The sequence below is a fragment of the Homo sapiens genome, chromosome 2 (genome assembly GCF_000001405.40).
Source record: "Homo sapiens chromosome 2, GRCh38.p14 Primary Assembly".
NCBI classification, from domain to species: domain Eukaryota; kingdom Metazoa; phylum Chordata; class Mammalia; order Primates; family Hominidae; genus Homo; species Homo sapiens.
In genome coordinates this window covers 197,219-213,605 of record NC_000002.12, presented here as the reverse complement: position 1 = coordinate 213,605, position 16,387 = coordinate 197,219, and the positions used below count along the sequence as shown (strand labels likewise).

At 44.5% G+C, this 16,387-nt stretch overlaps 1 annotated feature.

Annotated features, from left to right (window-relative positions):
* Positions 14,805–16,004: an enhancer, noted in NCBI's record as "MED14-independent group 3 enhancer chr2:197602-198801 (GRCh37/hg19 assembly coordinates)". NCBI's record gives its function as "activates an origin of replication core promoter dependent on BRD2, BRD4, P300/CBP and CDK7 cofactors, and independent of MED14, by STARR-seq in HCT116 cells {active_cell/tissue: HCT116}" and the evidence as "EXISTENCE:reporter gene assay evidence [ECO:0000049][PMID:35650434]".

Here is a 16,387-nt window from a genome sequence, read left to right as displayed (position 1 = left end):
CTTGCAGCTCAGTTCTTTCTGTAAACCTGCAACTATTCAAAAAATGAAGCCTATTAATTAAAAAATATTAGCTGAAACCACCATTTGATCTTATAATTTAATCCACTTATAAATAAAATGTTTATCATTAAAGAAAAAATATAGTTTCCACTTTCATATGACAGCAGTGGCCTCTGTTTTCAAGATTCAAACCTTCATATTTATGTCATGTAATTTAAACTTCTCAAGAAAATTACAAGTAACAGGCTGAGAATGCTCTAAGGATGACTTGCAGAGCTACCTATAGTTAGCTACTCTCTGGGGCAGAAAGTTTTAGTGGCTGGATAGAAGCTCAAACCAGCCGTAATATTCCCTTAAGCCAAAACCTAATCCAGAGCAAGATCCTAATTTTCTTCCATTCTATGAAGTGGGCAGCTGAAGAAGAAGTTTGAAGCTGGCAGAAGTTGATTCATGAGGTTTAAGGAAAGAAACCAGCTCCATAGGATAAAAGTGCAAGGAGAAGCAGCAAGTGCTGATGGAGAAGCTGTAGCAAGTTCTGCAGAAGATCCAGCTATCATTGATGAAGGTGGCTACAGTAAACAAAGAATTTCCATGTAGATGAAACAGGCTTCTATTGGAAAGAAGATGCCATCTAGGACTTTCATAGCTGGAGAAGAGAAGTCAATGCCTGGCTTCAAAGCTTCAAAGGACAGGCTGACTCTCTTATTAGGGGCTAGTGCAGCTGGTGACATTTTGTTAAAGTCAATACCCACTTGCTATTCCCCAAATCCCAGAGTCCTTAAGAATTGTGCTAAATGCACTCTGCCTGTGCTCTGTAAATGGAACAACAAAGCCTGGATAACAGCACATCTGTTTATGGCATGGTTTATTGAATATTTTAAGCCTAATGTTGAGATCTACTGCTTGGGGGAAAAAATCCTTCCAAAATATTGCTCATTGACAACACTGATGGTGATGTACAAGAAGATAAATGTTGTTCTCATGTCTGCTAACACAACATCCACTCTGCAGCCCATGGATCAAGGAGTAATTATGACTTTTTAGTCTTATTATTTACGAAATGTATTTCATTAGGCTACATCTGCCATAGATAGTGATTCCTCTGATGGATCTGGGCAAGTCAATTGAAAACCTTCTGGAAAGGATTCACTCTTCTAGATGCCATTCAGAACATTCATGACTCATGGGAAGAGGTCACAATATCAACATGAACAGAAGTTTGGGAGCAGTTTTGGGAATAGTTGCTGTGCAGGTTGTTTGTGGTGAAACATGAAGAGAGGGGAGGGGAAGCTCTGATGTGAGGGTGGAGCAGCACCTCCCGACCTTGAGAAGAGTCTGCCTGAAAGTCAGGGGAAGAGCTGGAAGGAACCTCTTAGTGCCAAGGGGAGTGACCCAAGAGAGAGGAAGCAGTTTCCCATGTCAAAAAAGACATCAGAAATAGCACCAAGTGTAGGCACCAAAGTCCCAAGAGGATGGAAAACAGGCGGCACTGATGGAGGCGGATCTGGAGGAAGATGTGGGAATTCCATGAATTTAGAAGTGGGGTCCTTGGCTGAGCCTGAGACGGAGGCAGCTGGGAGAAAACCCTCTGTAGAAGTGTGTGGAGCAGGTCAGAATCTGTGTACCACCTTTGTGTTTACATTCAGATTAGTTCCTTAAAAGAAATCTTAGTGGGAAGTCAGCAGGTGAAACCACACAACTTTTAAAGCTTTCACTATAATCTCAAGAAAGCATTTTCATTTTATGTTCAGCAATTGAAAAACATGTAGGACTTTGAAAGGTATAAGACTGGTTAGAAATCATATTGATTACCTATTTTAGTGCCCCTTGTATATAACAATAAATTATAAAAATAACCCAAGTTACTATGGAAAAGTGTTTGCTGTAGACCAGGTAGTCTGGACGTAAACCCTGCTTGTGCCAAGGATCAGTTGGGTGACTTCAGCCAACATAACATATCTGAGCTCACCTTCCTCAATTTAAAAACAGGGGCCCTAAGAAGTGCCTCCGGGTACTGTGGTGATGATTAAATATGATCAAATATGTGCAATGCTTGACACAGGAAAGTTTACATATTAAGATGAAGAAAAATAATAATTTGGAAAGATGGTATTATATGTTACAGAATTTTAAAAATCAGAATTCCAAATATGTCAAAATGATTTATTTTTAAAATGTACATATAACAGAAAGAATGGAAAGCATGAACTCAAACTGCTAAAAGGGTTAGAGCTAGTTAATGTGTATGGTATTAATCAACTATAACTGAATATTTATTAATAAAAATAGTTATTAAAAATAGAAATCTGTTTGACAAGTCACCCACGAACAAACAGGGGACCAGGTCTCCTATCCAGGATCCTATGAAGGAGAGAAGAAAACAGATTTGCTGGTCACAGAGTGCCCGAGGGGCTGATGGCAGTGAGGCTGGCATATCCTTGCTGTCTTAGTTCTGCACAGGTGGTCCTGGGAGACGGACCACACGGCTGGGGACGGCACAGCAGCAGCCCTGACCCAAATCTGTCAAATGCTCTGCCCCACTGGCAGCTCAGATGGATTCCTTTAGCATCTCCTCAGGATTCCAGGTCTAATGCTCAAAACAGTCTTGAAGTTCCACAGAAAGGGCGACACCTTGTCCTCTGAGTCAGGGGCTGCCTCACTCACAAGGCATCTGATGAGTTAGTTAGCAGATGAAGGGGAAGGTGGAGCAGGAGGGAGCGGAGGCCTGGCTGACGTGGAGTGCAGAGCTGCCTCCAGAGCACTCTCACCTGTCATCTGGGACATCATCAATTACAAGTCCCACTGCCTGCATTCCTCTTGCCCAGTGTGCATGTGTGCAGGGATCCAGCTCCACCACAGAGACCTGTCTAAACAGAGCTGCCTCCAGCTCAGAACGTAAACACCTGCTGGTGGTCCCTGTTCTGTGGGCTGTCACTACTGTCCCACGTAGACTGGGAGGGCTGGATGGGGGGAGATGAAGCCTCATCTTTAGGGGCAGAGCTCTGGGAGTGGGGTGCTCATTGGCTTTTGAGGAAACGACCCTGCTCTCAGGACAGAAGATCTAGAAACTTGGAATGCTTCCAGATTTGTCCGTTAGAAGAGCCAGTACAAAATGTTAGCTGTGTATCTCAGAGGGAAACTGAGGAAACAGAAATGCATGTTAGTGAATTGAGAACAAGTTAGGAACAAATAGAAGACACTATGAGATTATGCTCTGTCCTCACACCCTAAAGGCTAATGCCAGATTTGCACCCTGGGAGGTGAGTGTATGTGAGAAATGAGGGCACAGTCCTGCACTGAGTGTGGGGAGGGCCCTGGCCTGGTCACTCCCTACTCCTGGGCTGTTCTGACCTGCTGCACCCCTCCCAGGCACACGGGCACAGATAATCCTTGTGAAATGAGAGAGAAGTGTACTTTAATAAGTCTGCCATTGCAAATAGTAGTAAGTAATAGAAGACATGAAGATATTGGACTAAACATATCAGAAATTTCTTTTTCTTGTATAACAAGAAGTAGGGAGATACAAAACCCAAAGCTGGGAGGCTGGCACAGATGGAGCAGAAACCCAGGCATATTCCAACTTTCTGCCCTACCTTTTGGAATTTGTCCTCATCCATCCACCCATCTCTCAGCAGATATCCCATTAGTATCAACTGCGCCAAGCCCTGTTTTGGGTGCTGGGAATACAGAAGTGAACAAAGGAGACAACGACATGTTATTGCAGAGCTTAATACACAACAAACAAAAGTCTGATTACAGCATATCAAGATCTGAGAAGTGCTCTGGAGAAACATAAATTGGAGGGGGAGGAAGATGTGTGGAGGGAGGCTTGCTGTTTAAAATGGGGTCATCAGGAGACATCTCAAGCAGCAGGAGCCCACCCTCAGGCCACTCTGCAGTGCAGGGATCAGCTGAGCCTTCCCTGCCCTGTGCCTGGGGCAGGGAGGGGCAGGGAGGGGCAGAGAGGTAAGAGGGGAGAGGAAGGGAGAGCACGTGAGGCGGCTGGAGGGCTCTGAGTGTTACTCCAAATGAGCTACAACTGTTGAGGTTTTGAGCTGAGAAGTGTTGCTGTCTGATTTATCTTTCAGGAGGCTCTTCCTGGCTGCAGTGATGAAAATCAGCTGTAAGAAGAAAGGATGGAGATGGTGAGAATTGACTGGATTCTATGCATCTTCCCACTTTCTCTCTTTTATTCCTTTTAAACTCTGATTAAACATTTATGATGCCCTCTCACTTTGACCATCATAATCTTCACACTCTTTTATATCTTCTGTCTTTTTGTCTCATGGGACTATATTCTGGATTTATTTAGATGTATCTTCCCGTTTTCTGATTCACCTTCAAGTGTCTCTAATTTGCTTTTTAATATTCATTGGGTTTTAAATGTCAGTTATTACAGCTTTTATTTGTGAAAGTTCTAGTGTCTTTTTCAAATATTATCCCTTTATTGTCTCTTGTTCTTGCTATATTTTCAGTTATTTTCTGTTATTTCTGTAGCCATATCAAACACAATCATTTTGTATTTCATGTCTGGTAACCCCATCCTGCGCCCTTGAGAGCCTGAATGTTTCTTTGCTGTTTCTCTCTCCTGGTGACTTGCTTCTTTATTTGTTGTCATTTTTATAGGAAACTGATCAATTTCCTCAGTACTATAATTATATCTGGGCTTAATGTTGCAGATTTCCAGATGAAACTTGTTTCTGCCGGTTGCTTTGGGGCTCAAGTAACCCAGAACTGCTTCATGTTGGGGCATCTAATTGGGTTTTGGACCACGAGTCTGTGTGTGTGACCTATGCCAGCACTGATGTAGGACAATTTCCAATTTTTTCTTTTGTGTGTAGAGTTTATTTCTTTTTATTCTTACACAGAGTGCATGGCCTTTGGAGTCTCAGATTATTTGGGGATCTCTGATTCATCTTCCCACCTTACACAGCCCTTGACTTCTTCTCCTGAATTTTGTATCCAGTGCAGCCTTCAGAGTCCAGTCTGCAATCTGCACCCAATCTGGGTTAGGCATTACCTTACAGGATTCCTGCCTTCACTTTGTTTTTGCTCTCTGCATTCCTATTTTTTGTGCCAGCTCAGCATTGCTTTTAAAAATATCTATTTCCTCCTGTACTTTAATGGACATGGTTACTAAAAGTATAAAATCTGGCTTACTGTTGGAAACAGTCTTTTTAACTCTTAGTTCAAGCTGCTACAGCAAAGTGCCATAGACTAGGTGGCTTGTAAACAATAGATACGCATTTCTCACAGTTGTGGAGGCTGGAGGTCCAAGATCAAGGTGCCAGCATGGTCGTGTTCTGATGAGCACCTGTTCTGGGTTGCAGGTGGTGCCTTCCTGCTGTTCCCTCACGTGGTGTAAGGTGTGAGGTATCTCTGGGGCCTCTTTTATAAGGGCTCTAATCTCATCCATGGGGCTCCCCTCCAGACCTCGTCACCTCCTCAACACCCCTCCTAACCCCGTCAAACTGGGGAGTAGATTTCAACTTAGGAGTTTGGGGGAAGACAAACATTCAGCTCACAACAGACCCTTTATTTAAGTTTTGTTAGTTTGCTTTGTTTTCATTTTCTGTTTTCTAAGGGGTTCCTTGCAATGGCTCTTCATGGGGCTGCATCTGTGTTTGCTACCCTTTTGGAGATAAGTCTGCTTTTCTATTTATTTTCTGACTTCTATCAGTTCATGGTCATTGTCTTCTGGTGTCTCATCATCTCTCCCTTGAAATGTTGCGTTCTGGATTTGTGATCTTCCTTTATAGTAGTAATGGCTGCATTAATTTTTGTGGTTGATGAAATATTTAACTGCATTATTTATTTTGTGGAAACAATTTTGGATGTTACTTAGTTCTACAACTTTCCTTCATTTCTTCCTCCCTCCCTCTCTCCCTCCCTTCCTCCCTCCCTTCCTCCCTCCCTTCCTTCCTCCCTTCCTCCCTCCCTTCCTCCCTCCCTCCCTCCCTCCCTCCCTCCTTTCCTCCCTCCCTTCCTCCCTCCCTTCCTCCCTCCCTCCCTTCCTTCCTCCCTCCCTCCCTCCCTCCCTTCCTCCCTCCCTCCCTTCCTTCCTCCCTCCCTCCCTTCCTCCCTCCCTCCCTCCCTCCCTCCCTTCCTTCCTCCCTTCCTTCCTCCCTTCCTCCCTCCCTTCCTCCCTCCCTCCCTCCCTCCCTCCCTCCTTTCCTCCCTCCCTTCCTCCCTCCCTTCCTCCCTCCCTCCCTTCCTTCCTCCCTCCCTTCCTCCCTCCCTTCCTCCCTCCCTCCCTTCCTTCCTCCCTCCCTCCCTTCCTCCCTCCCTCCCTCCCTCCCTCCCTTCCTTCCTCCCTTCCTTCCTCCCTTCCTCCCTCCCTTCCTCCCTCCCTTCCTCCCTTCCTCCCTCCCTCCCTCCCTCCCTCCCTTCCTCCCTCCCTCCCTTCCTCCCTCCCTCCCTCCCTCCCTCCCTCCCTCCCTCCCTCCCTTCCTCCCTCCCTCCCTTCCTCCCTCCCTCCCTCCCTTCCTCCCTCCCTTCCTCCCTCCCTTCCTCCCTCCCTCCCTTCCTCCCTTCCTCCCTCCCTTCCTCCCTCCCTTCCTCCCTCCCTTCCTCCCTCCCTTCCTCCCTTCCTTCCTACCTTCCTCCCTTCCCCCCCCACCCCAGTTTCCCTCTCTTTCCCATGCAAGGGATGTGGTTTGGCCCTCAGCATGCGGCACCCTCACGGCCCTGGGTCTCTGGTCACTGGGGTTTCTCTGGTTTCTGATTCTTCCCACACAGCTCGTGCCTGACCTCAACTGGGTCTGACAGTCCTTAGAATTCATGTGTAGTCTGAGGATTATATTAACACCTGTTCCTTGTTTTGCTGATAATGGGGTTTTTAAGTTTTACACTTAAAAAACTGTATTATCATGGTGGCTTTTCAGTGATTTCTGGGAATAGCGAAGAGAATGCCAACTTCTTCAGCAACGTTCATTCTGCAAGTCTACATTGATCTGTTCAAATTTTAACATGGCGACATTTTTGTGTGACTTAGAAAACATATACAACTGTCACATCAAACCCATTGTTTCCTGAATAGAGTTAGTTAGAGTAAGATAAAACCTAGTAATTTTAATTGTATTTTATGTACATTATACAAACTATAAGCAAGTACATTTAAGAATACATGTGAATATTTCAAAACTTCAGCAACTGAATTGGCTGCTACATATGTTTCGAATTTGGGGTAATGTGAATGAAATAAATTAAAAATGTATATTTTCCAAGATTCAGTTCCGTGCCCACAATTGAGATCTACACTATAATATGTGGAACATCAAATCTGGATGTGGACGGTTTTTATTATAAATATTCAAGTTGTTTCACAATAAAAATCTCCTTACCGTTGCTACATAGAGATACCTTTGCCATTGAAATTATGCTGAATTTTTCGTATGACAGTGAAAATTGCCAATTATGTTTAAGGACAGAGTACTGCATTCTCAGTTTTATAGAAAGTCACATGAAACATTTGAAATTGGGACTCTGTAAATTTTTTTTCAGAACAGGTGGTGGAGTGACGGAAAACAAACCTAGTTGTGCTCTTTCTGTACATGGTGAAATAACACCCAGCAAGAGAACAGCATATTGCTCATGAAGGCTTTTGGAAACAAAAGTATCTTGAAAAAAATAGTTACTTTCTTAATTTTGTCAAGAAATTAGCATGAGAAAATAGTGAAATAATTGTGATTTTTCAAATATAGGAGGTGGTATTTGGAGAAGGGCTTAGCATAAAAAACCAAAACACTAACTTGTCTTCTGAAATGGAAACAAATTTATCCTCATCCTAGCCTAAATGACATCTACTCAAATACCCATTTGTTGCTAACTCGTTATAAATCTCCATTTTTTAATCATTCAGAAACTATCTTTAAAGTTTCATTTTGTAAAATCCAACATGTATATTAAGGTATGTTCCATTCTTCTGTCAGTGAAAAGAGTCAAACTCTAAAATATTTTAAGAGATTTATCCTGAGCCAAGTAAGTGACCAATGGCCTGTAACACAGCCCACAGGAGATCCTGAGAACTTGCACCCATGGTGGTCAGGCTACAACTTGGTTTTATACATTTTAGGGAGACGTGAGATGTCAGTCGATACATGTGAGATGTACATTGGTTCGGTCCAGAAGGGTGGGACAACTAGAAGCGGGGGCTTCCAGATTACAGGTAGATTAAAAGATTTTCTGACTGGCAATTCATTGAAATAATTAAGCTATTATCTAAAGACTTAGAATCAATAGAAAGGAATGTCTGGGTTAAGATAACGGGTTGTGGAGACCAAGGTTTTATCATGCAGATGATAAAACCAGTAGCAGGCTTCAGAGAGAATAGATTGTAAAGGTTTTTAATCAGACTTAAGATCTGTGTTGATGTTAATGCTGGTCAGCTTTTCCTGAATTCCAAAAGGGAGGAGAGCATAATGAAGCATGTCTGACTCCCACCTTCCCATGATGGCCTGAACTAGTTTTCCAGGTTAACTTTGGAATGCCTTTTACCGAGAGAAAGGGTTCCTTCAGATGGTTGGGGGCCTTATAATTTTATTTTTGGTTTACACTTCTATTTATTTTTTTAAAATGACACATGTAAGCCCCCAGTTACATGTAAATATTTTAGTTAGTTTTTATTTATTTCAAATTATACCAATATTTCATTTAAGTTACCAATATAAGATAAGATTTCCTTTTGAAAAAGATGAAGAGAATGTGATTTTCTCATATGGAAAAAATGTGAAATTATACATGAATGACTGATGTTTGAAAAGCAGCACTATAAGAGAGCTTGGCACCTGTTTTTAAGAAAATATGCCAAATATCTGTGATTCATGAGATTCTTAAAGCCAGCATTATGGAAGAGAAATGCTAATACAGGCAGTAGAAGAATTGTTTTAGACAATTCTGTAAAAATTGACATAGAACAATTTGAAAGTCAAGTTCTGTGGTTTGAGCTTTTATAAGCTATAAAATAAATGATGCTATGTCTAAAATTAATGAAACATGTTACTGATTGAATTTCACTTATATTAAATTTGGGGGGCTTATAAAATAAGCATGATCTGAGAAATGCATTGCTACTGATTCTATTCTAATGTGTATTAGTTTGTTCTTGCACTGCTATAAACATCTGAGACTGGTAATTTATAAAGAAAAGAGAGTTAATTGGCTCACAGTTCCACAGGCTGTACAGGAAGCATAGCTGGGGAGGCCTCAGGAAACTTACAATCATGGTGGAAGGCAAAGGGGAAGCAGGCACATCCTCACATGGCCGGAGCAGGAGGAAGAGATAGAAGGGGAAGGTGCTACATGCTTTTAAGCAACCAGATCTTGTGATAACTCACTCACTATCACGAGACAGCAAGGGAGAAATCTGTGCCCATGAGCCAGTCACCTCCCACCAGGTCCCTCCTCCAACACTGAGGATAACAACTGGACATGAAAGTTGGGTGGGGACACAGATTCCAACATATCAAATGCTATAAAAGGTTAGAATAATATTTGGTCCTTCAGGGATTACTCTTGCTCTAGATTTTCATTAGCATGTTGGGTTTCAACATGCTAAAGTCCTGATTATCATATTTTTAGATTAGGCAAATTTGTCAGGGATTATAGTTATGTAAAATGGCAATTCTAAATGTCTCTATAAATTAAAACAAAGGCACAGATCTAATATAATTCAATCAGAATAGACAAGTCAGCATTTCCCCTCCCCACAACCCACTGCCCAAATTGAATACATACAAGTGAGAAAGGAATCTTTTAAAATAGCAAAATGTAGGGCTTTGAGGATTTCCGTGCCCTAACTCATGGCGAATCTTCAGTGAAATATCCATCTTAGGTCGGGGAAGGGTCATTGTGCTGTCTGGGGATTCCCAAAATGGCAGAGTAAGAAGTTCGGCCAATCCCTGCTTCAGAAAGCAATGCAAAAGCTTGACAGAAGTGCCAAAAACAACCATTTCAGAACTCTGACAATTAACCGAAGGCATGCGGCAAGCTGACAGGAGGCTGCACAGAAAAGCCCATGCCTGGTGCATGGCAGGGTCACAGCTGCTGAGGCTGAGATTCCGGGTAGCCTGACAATAGACAAGATGAAAATTTGGAAGTGAACTCTGGGGAGTGAAACAGAACTTTGATAACCTCCCACATTGTCCCTGGCGCTCTGGGAGGCTCTCGTGTGCACGGAGCTGAGCAGGAGGAAACTCAAATTCACAAAACATGAGAAGCTGGCTCACCTGGCACGCCTGACCCTGGACCCAGAATTGTATCCTTCATGTCTCCCTAGGAATGTGAAGCTACTGCACACTGTTCACAGAGATCCTCAATTGTGAAATTACTAATGAAACATCCAGGGAATAGTAAGAAAAAAAAGACCAATACAAGTGAATTTCTTTATATAGCAGTAATGACCAAACGTAGTGGGTGCGTTAGGCATTTCTGGAAACAGCTGGGAGGCTATGATGGTGTCTGGCTGTGTGTCTCGAGTGACGCAGGGCTGTCTGCTACAGTCTGGTCTTGGCTGCAGTGTTTGGGAAGTGCCTCCACATCACACCAGGACCTCATGCACATCTAAGGTGCTGTGACTGTGACATGCAGCTGCAAAGAATGATTTGCCTCTACAGTCACCTGCAGTCCTTGGAGAGCCGCTGCATCGGTCCATTCTCACCCTGCTACGAAGAGCTACCTGATACCGGGTAGTCTATGAAGAAACAGGTTGTAAAGGAAGCATGGTAGGGGAGGCCTCAGGGAACTTATAATCATTGCAGAAGGAAGGGGAAGCTGCACCTTCTTCACATGGCGAAGAGGGAGAGAGGGAGAGAGCAACGGGGAAGGTGCTGCGTACTTTCAAACAACCGCATTTCCTGAGAGCTCTATCACGAGAACAGCGAGGGGGAAATTCACCCCATGGTTCAGTCACTTCCCACCAGGACCCTCCTCCAACTCTAGGGATTACAATTTGACACGAGATTTGAGCAGGAACACAGAACCAAGCCATGTCAGCCACCTTGTAAATAAAAGATAGGTTTAACCATATCAAAGAACATAAAAGCAACAAAATGAGAGCAAAAACCATGCCAGACACCTGTTTTACAGAATGCATATCACACCCACAGCAGGCAGGAGGAAAAGGACTGGCCTGGTGACCCTGACAGCGATTTGATGGGATAACAAAAGGCTAAAGCAAAACAAATTTGTAAAATGTACACGAGCCCTATATTCTAGTTAGTAAAAATAACAAAAAGTACACCATCGCACTTGAATTTTGTGTATAAGTCACTTTTTGAAATGCGTATATTTAAAGTGTTGCTTGAAAATTCCTTTAAGGCCTGAGTCCATGGCACTTGGCATCCAGAGGGGCCCAGGGCATTCACAGCACACAGGACTAAGCTCGCAGAGCTTGGCTGGGCCACTGTTGTGTTTGGCTTTTCTGTGTGTTTTTGCATGAGCGTTTACATTATTTCATAATTGTGTTTTTGTTATCACAGCAGTGAAAACAAAGCTGTCTTCAGACTCAAGTTCTTGTGGGACTAAATCAGCAAAGGACAGAAGGTGGAAACTGAGGAAGATGTTGCTGGAGGCGGGGCCCTTCCAGTGGAGTTAGCCAGGGTCACCTGCGGAGCCCTGCAGGTCCCAGGCTGCTGTGCTCATGTACTGAATAGTATTTCTGGGAAGGCTACCCAGACTTTGATGCAGCTTTCAAACAAAAAGTTAACAGTCTTGAGTGGCTTCTCTGTTTTCTCAGTGCACCTGTTCCTCGATCAGGTAGTGCTGCTGGCTCAGGCCCCGACTGCCTCTGGTTCCACACAAGAAAGCTGGCATTCCTCTTGAGTGAAGTCCCAAGTGCAGACAAATTTAGTAGCAAACAGACTGATCTCAAAAACTCCTACTGGTCACAGAATAATGACTTGTTTGAATTAAGAAGAAATGATTCAAGAACTCAGTTAAAAGCAATAATAATTTTATATAATGATTTTACATGAGTTTAAAATGGTGAACCTTTTTCTTTAACCTTTAAAAATATCCATGCTTTCATTTAAGTCAAATAATAAACATATTACACGTGTGCTTCAGGCCTCCTGGTTTACCTGGTACTTTCCACACCATTCTCTCACTTAATCCTCCATGAACATCCATACATAACCTGGATGTTCATTTGCTCTCACTTTATCCTTGCAAAACCATCTGGAATTTCTCCCCTGGTGCTTCCAAGGAGATCATAATTATAACGTAGATCCTGGAAAAGACACCTCCCAACGAGGTGACATTTGTGACCCCTTGGATCAAGGTCAGCCCTTACAGTATGCTATTTAAGTACTGAAACACAGTTTCCTGCAAAACCTTCCAAGTCAATATACACATCTGTTGCTTCAAATCATTTAAACCGCCCTGTAAATGTAGCCAAATGTCCTGTTTTAGTGGGCTCTGGCTTGCCCCCAGCAGGGGTGGCTGCAGTAGTTAGTTGGGGTCCCCTTGGTCCAGGTTTTTAATTTGCAGCAGTATTGGAAGGGTTATTTAATATAGGAGTTTTAAATACTATAGACAGCAGAATGAGGACGGTGTTATTGTGCAAATATTACTGGTGAAGAAACTTGGTTAATTCCCACCATCACACCCCTAGGAAGTGACAGAATCACAGCTCTAAACAGGTGGGTGTTCTGCTTCCAAACCCAGGGCTCTCGGATCAGCCATGAGAACATGAGGAGTTCAGCTCTTCCCAGCCATGACTCCCAATCACCTACCCGCAGGGGCCTTTGATAATAATCCTCCAAGTCCTGAGCGTGAAGTAATTTCTATATTTGCACATGAATTTTAGGTCAAGTGGTATAATAGGATTCGCAGGGTGGTCAAACGCCAGAGCTGGAGCTCGGCTGTCGGGGCTGGACCCTGGATCTGCTGCTACCAGCTCCCTGACCTTGTCTGAGTGGCTGCCGTCTTTGAATTTCAGGTTTCTCAAATGTCTAATGGCATAAAACAAGATAATGCATAGAGGTGGTCTTGTGGGGTGCTGGGCCCATAGTGAATGCTCCCTATGCATCATTGAAGGCGATTCTTACTACTCTTGTCACGTAACACTTCAAACTTGCACTGGTGGTTTGCATGCAATTGACATGTAAAAGCACATCTGATTGCTTGGATCGTAGCTGAAGTCAAGTCCTGGTGCTTTTTTTGGCCTTTGCCGCTGTCTAGCATGGTCCTCAGTAGATGTTTGCATTATGGAATATGAAACCAGGAGCCCACTGAGTGTCCTACAGGCTGTTAGTTCCGGAGTTGCTGTACCAGGTGATTTCTTGGATACTTCTTGGTTCTAACTTCAGTTTCATGTTTATTGAAGACTGGCCAGACACTTAGTCCTTTAAAGCTGCTCCACTCAATCTGAACCTACCTTTAACGCACTGTATTTCCCATGCCTGCCTCCACTCTGTATCTCCCACCAGATAGCAATCAACTCCCTGAAAAGACAAAAACTGTGTCACGGTGTCTTCAGAGCTGAGCCTGCTAACTGGTGTGTCGTAAGCACTAAAATACACTTTTATTGAATAAATGCCGTTGACAAATGGAAGTTAGGTAAGCCTTCTAATTCCCATTTTGTTTCACCTATGTATATATTAAGACCACTGTATATTAAAAGTCTAATACAAAAATCTACTATGTTAAATGATAATATAATAATCTATTCCATCAATATAAGTACCATATTTATTGAATACCTACTGTTTGCCAGTCAAGGCTATGCCAATGAAGCAGAGAATTAAAAAGATAAACCGCTGCCTTGTGCAGTGGTGTGCGGACTGTCGAGGAGACGGACAGAAGCAGTGGTTACCGTGCTGGCGTGAGCCAGAAGTTTCCTGCCCTCTTGTCACTTCTGGGGTCTAGAAAAGTAGCACAAAAATGCATTATGCAAATGCAATATTTGGTGAAACTCACTAGGTGACATTATACTAAGAAATAAAACCAAAGCTCATCTTGGTTTCAGTTAGGCCTCAGCCCCGCTGAAGTCTCGCCGGTATTTTTCTGCCCTGGATACAGTGGAGACAGGCTTCAGCCACCTCACAAGCTTGCTGGACAACGGGCTTTTCTTCCTCTGTCTTCTTCAGGACTGTGAGTGCCTGACGGGCAGGAGCTGCACCCGTCACCTTGCTGTCCTCGCTGTTACCACAGGGCCACATCAGTGAACACAGGCTCTACTGAGGCGGCAGCCTCCCCGTAGCTTGTATTCTTGCAAAGAAGTTGAAAACCAAATCAATGCAGTCACAAGACACAGATACATATGGATGCAAATTTGCTGAACTCAGGAACGACCACCAGATTGGCAGGGCTAATTCACCCTCAGTGTTTTGTATTTTTTCCCTAATTATTCTAAAATGATCCTGTTGCTTTATTCCCACAGAACAAGCACTGGCAGACGAGGAACACTATCCCCAGCAGGCCTCGGCTGCCGGCAACGCACCCCTGCCCTCAGAAAGACAGCCTTGCTCTGAATTTATTTTCATAATTACATGAACGTTATCTAAAAAAAACAAAGGACGTGGGAAAGAATAAAGCTTAAAATAAACTTTAAGCTGTGGGAATGCAGGGGGCCAGGCTGGAGAACAGAGAAAGCCAGAGTGAGCTCAGTGTCTCTGTGCTGATCTACTTGGCCAGCAAGAAGGCTGCATACAACAGAGATCTGTGTCCACCAGCCAGAAGTTCAGGACTCAGACACACAATATGCTGACTTTATTCTAGAGCTAATTCATTCCAAAGTATGAGAAACATAGAGAAAAGCCAGCAACTGTTAGCCACACAGGTAGTAACGTTTCTTTCTTAAAGACTAGAGTTATATTTCTTCTATTGTGGTACAACCTCATTGTTTTTACGGCCATATTATCATTTTATTCAGGAATGTTGAAATGCTCTGAAATATCACTTAGTCATTAAAATGTTGATTACTACAACTAAATGACAACATAGAAAAGTGCTTATGATATATCATTTAGAGAAAATTTAGGATACACGACCTTACAAGCACTATGACAGGAGCTGAGTAAAAGTAGACTACGTCAAGAGGCCGGAAAGGAAGACAGAAGGGAAAAGGCCCCGCGCGTCTCCGTGTCAACAGGCCGGAAAGGCAGACAGAAGGGAAAAGGCCCCGCGCGTCTCCACGTCAACAGGCCGGAAAGGCAGACAGAAGGGAAAAGGCCCCGCGCGTCTCCACGTCAACAGGCCGGAAAGGCAGACAGAAGGGAAAAGGCCCCGCGCGTCTCCACGTCAACAGGCCGGAAAGGCAGACAGAAGGGAAAAGGCCCCGCGCGTCTCCACGTCAACAGGCCGGAAAGGCAGACAGAAGGGAAAAGGCCCCGCGCGTCTCCACGTCAACAGGCCGGAAAGGCAGACAGAAGGGAAAAGGCCCCGCGCGTCTCCACGTCAACAGGCCGGAAAGGCAGACAGAAGGGAAAACGCCCCGCGCGTCTCCACGTCAACAGGCCGGAAAGGCAGACAGAAGGGAAAACGCCCCGCGCGTCTCCACGTCAACAGGCCGGAAAGGCAGACAGAAGGGAAAAGGCCCCGCGCGTCTCCACGTCAACAGGCCGGAAAGGCAGACAGAAGGGAAAAGGCCCCGCGCGTCTCCACGTCAACAGGCCGGAAAGGCAGACAGAAGGGAAAAGGCCCCGCGCGTCTCCACGTCAACAGGCCGGAAAGGCAGACAGAAGGGAAAAGGCCCCGCGCGTCTCCACGTCAACAGGCCGGAAAGGCAGACAGAAGGGAAAAGGCCCCGCGCGTCTCCACGTCAACAGGCCGGAAAGGCAGACAGAAGGGAAAACGCCCCGCGCGTCTCCACGTCAACAGGCCGGAAAGGCAGACAGAAGGGAAAAGGCCCCGCGCGTCTCCACGTCAACAGGCCGGAAAGGCAGACAGAAGGGAAAAGGCCCCGCGCGTCTCCACGTCAACAGGCCGGAAAGGCAGACAGAAGGGAAAAGGCCCCGCGCGTTTCCACGTCAACAGGCCGGAAAGGCAGACAGAAGGGAAAAGGCTCCGCGCGTTTCCATGTCAACAGGCCGGAAAGGAAGACAGAAGGGAAAACGCTCCGCGTGTTTCCATGTCAAGAGGCCGGAAAGGCAGACAGAAGGGAAAAGGCCCCGCGCGTTTCTGTGTCCAGAGGCCGGAAAGGCAGACAGAAGGGAAAAGGCCCTGCGCGTTTCTGTGTTCTGTTACGGGGCTGGGGTGTGCAGTCAGGGTTTTCCTTTCCAACACTTTATATCATGGCTTATTTTCTTAATATTAGTAAAAACACATTAAAAATGAGTTCAAGTAGAAATTAATAGAGTAAGAATACATAACCTGGATGTTCATTTGCTCTCACTTTATCCTTGCAAAACCATCTGGAATTTCTCCCCTGGTGCTTCCAAGGAGATCA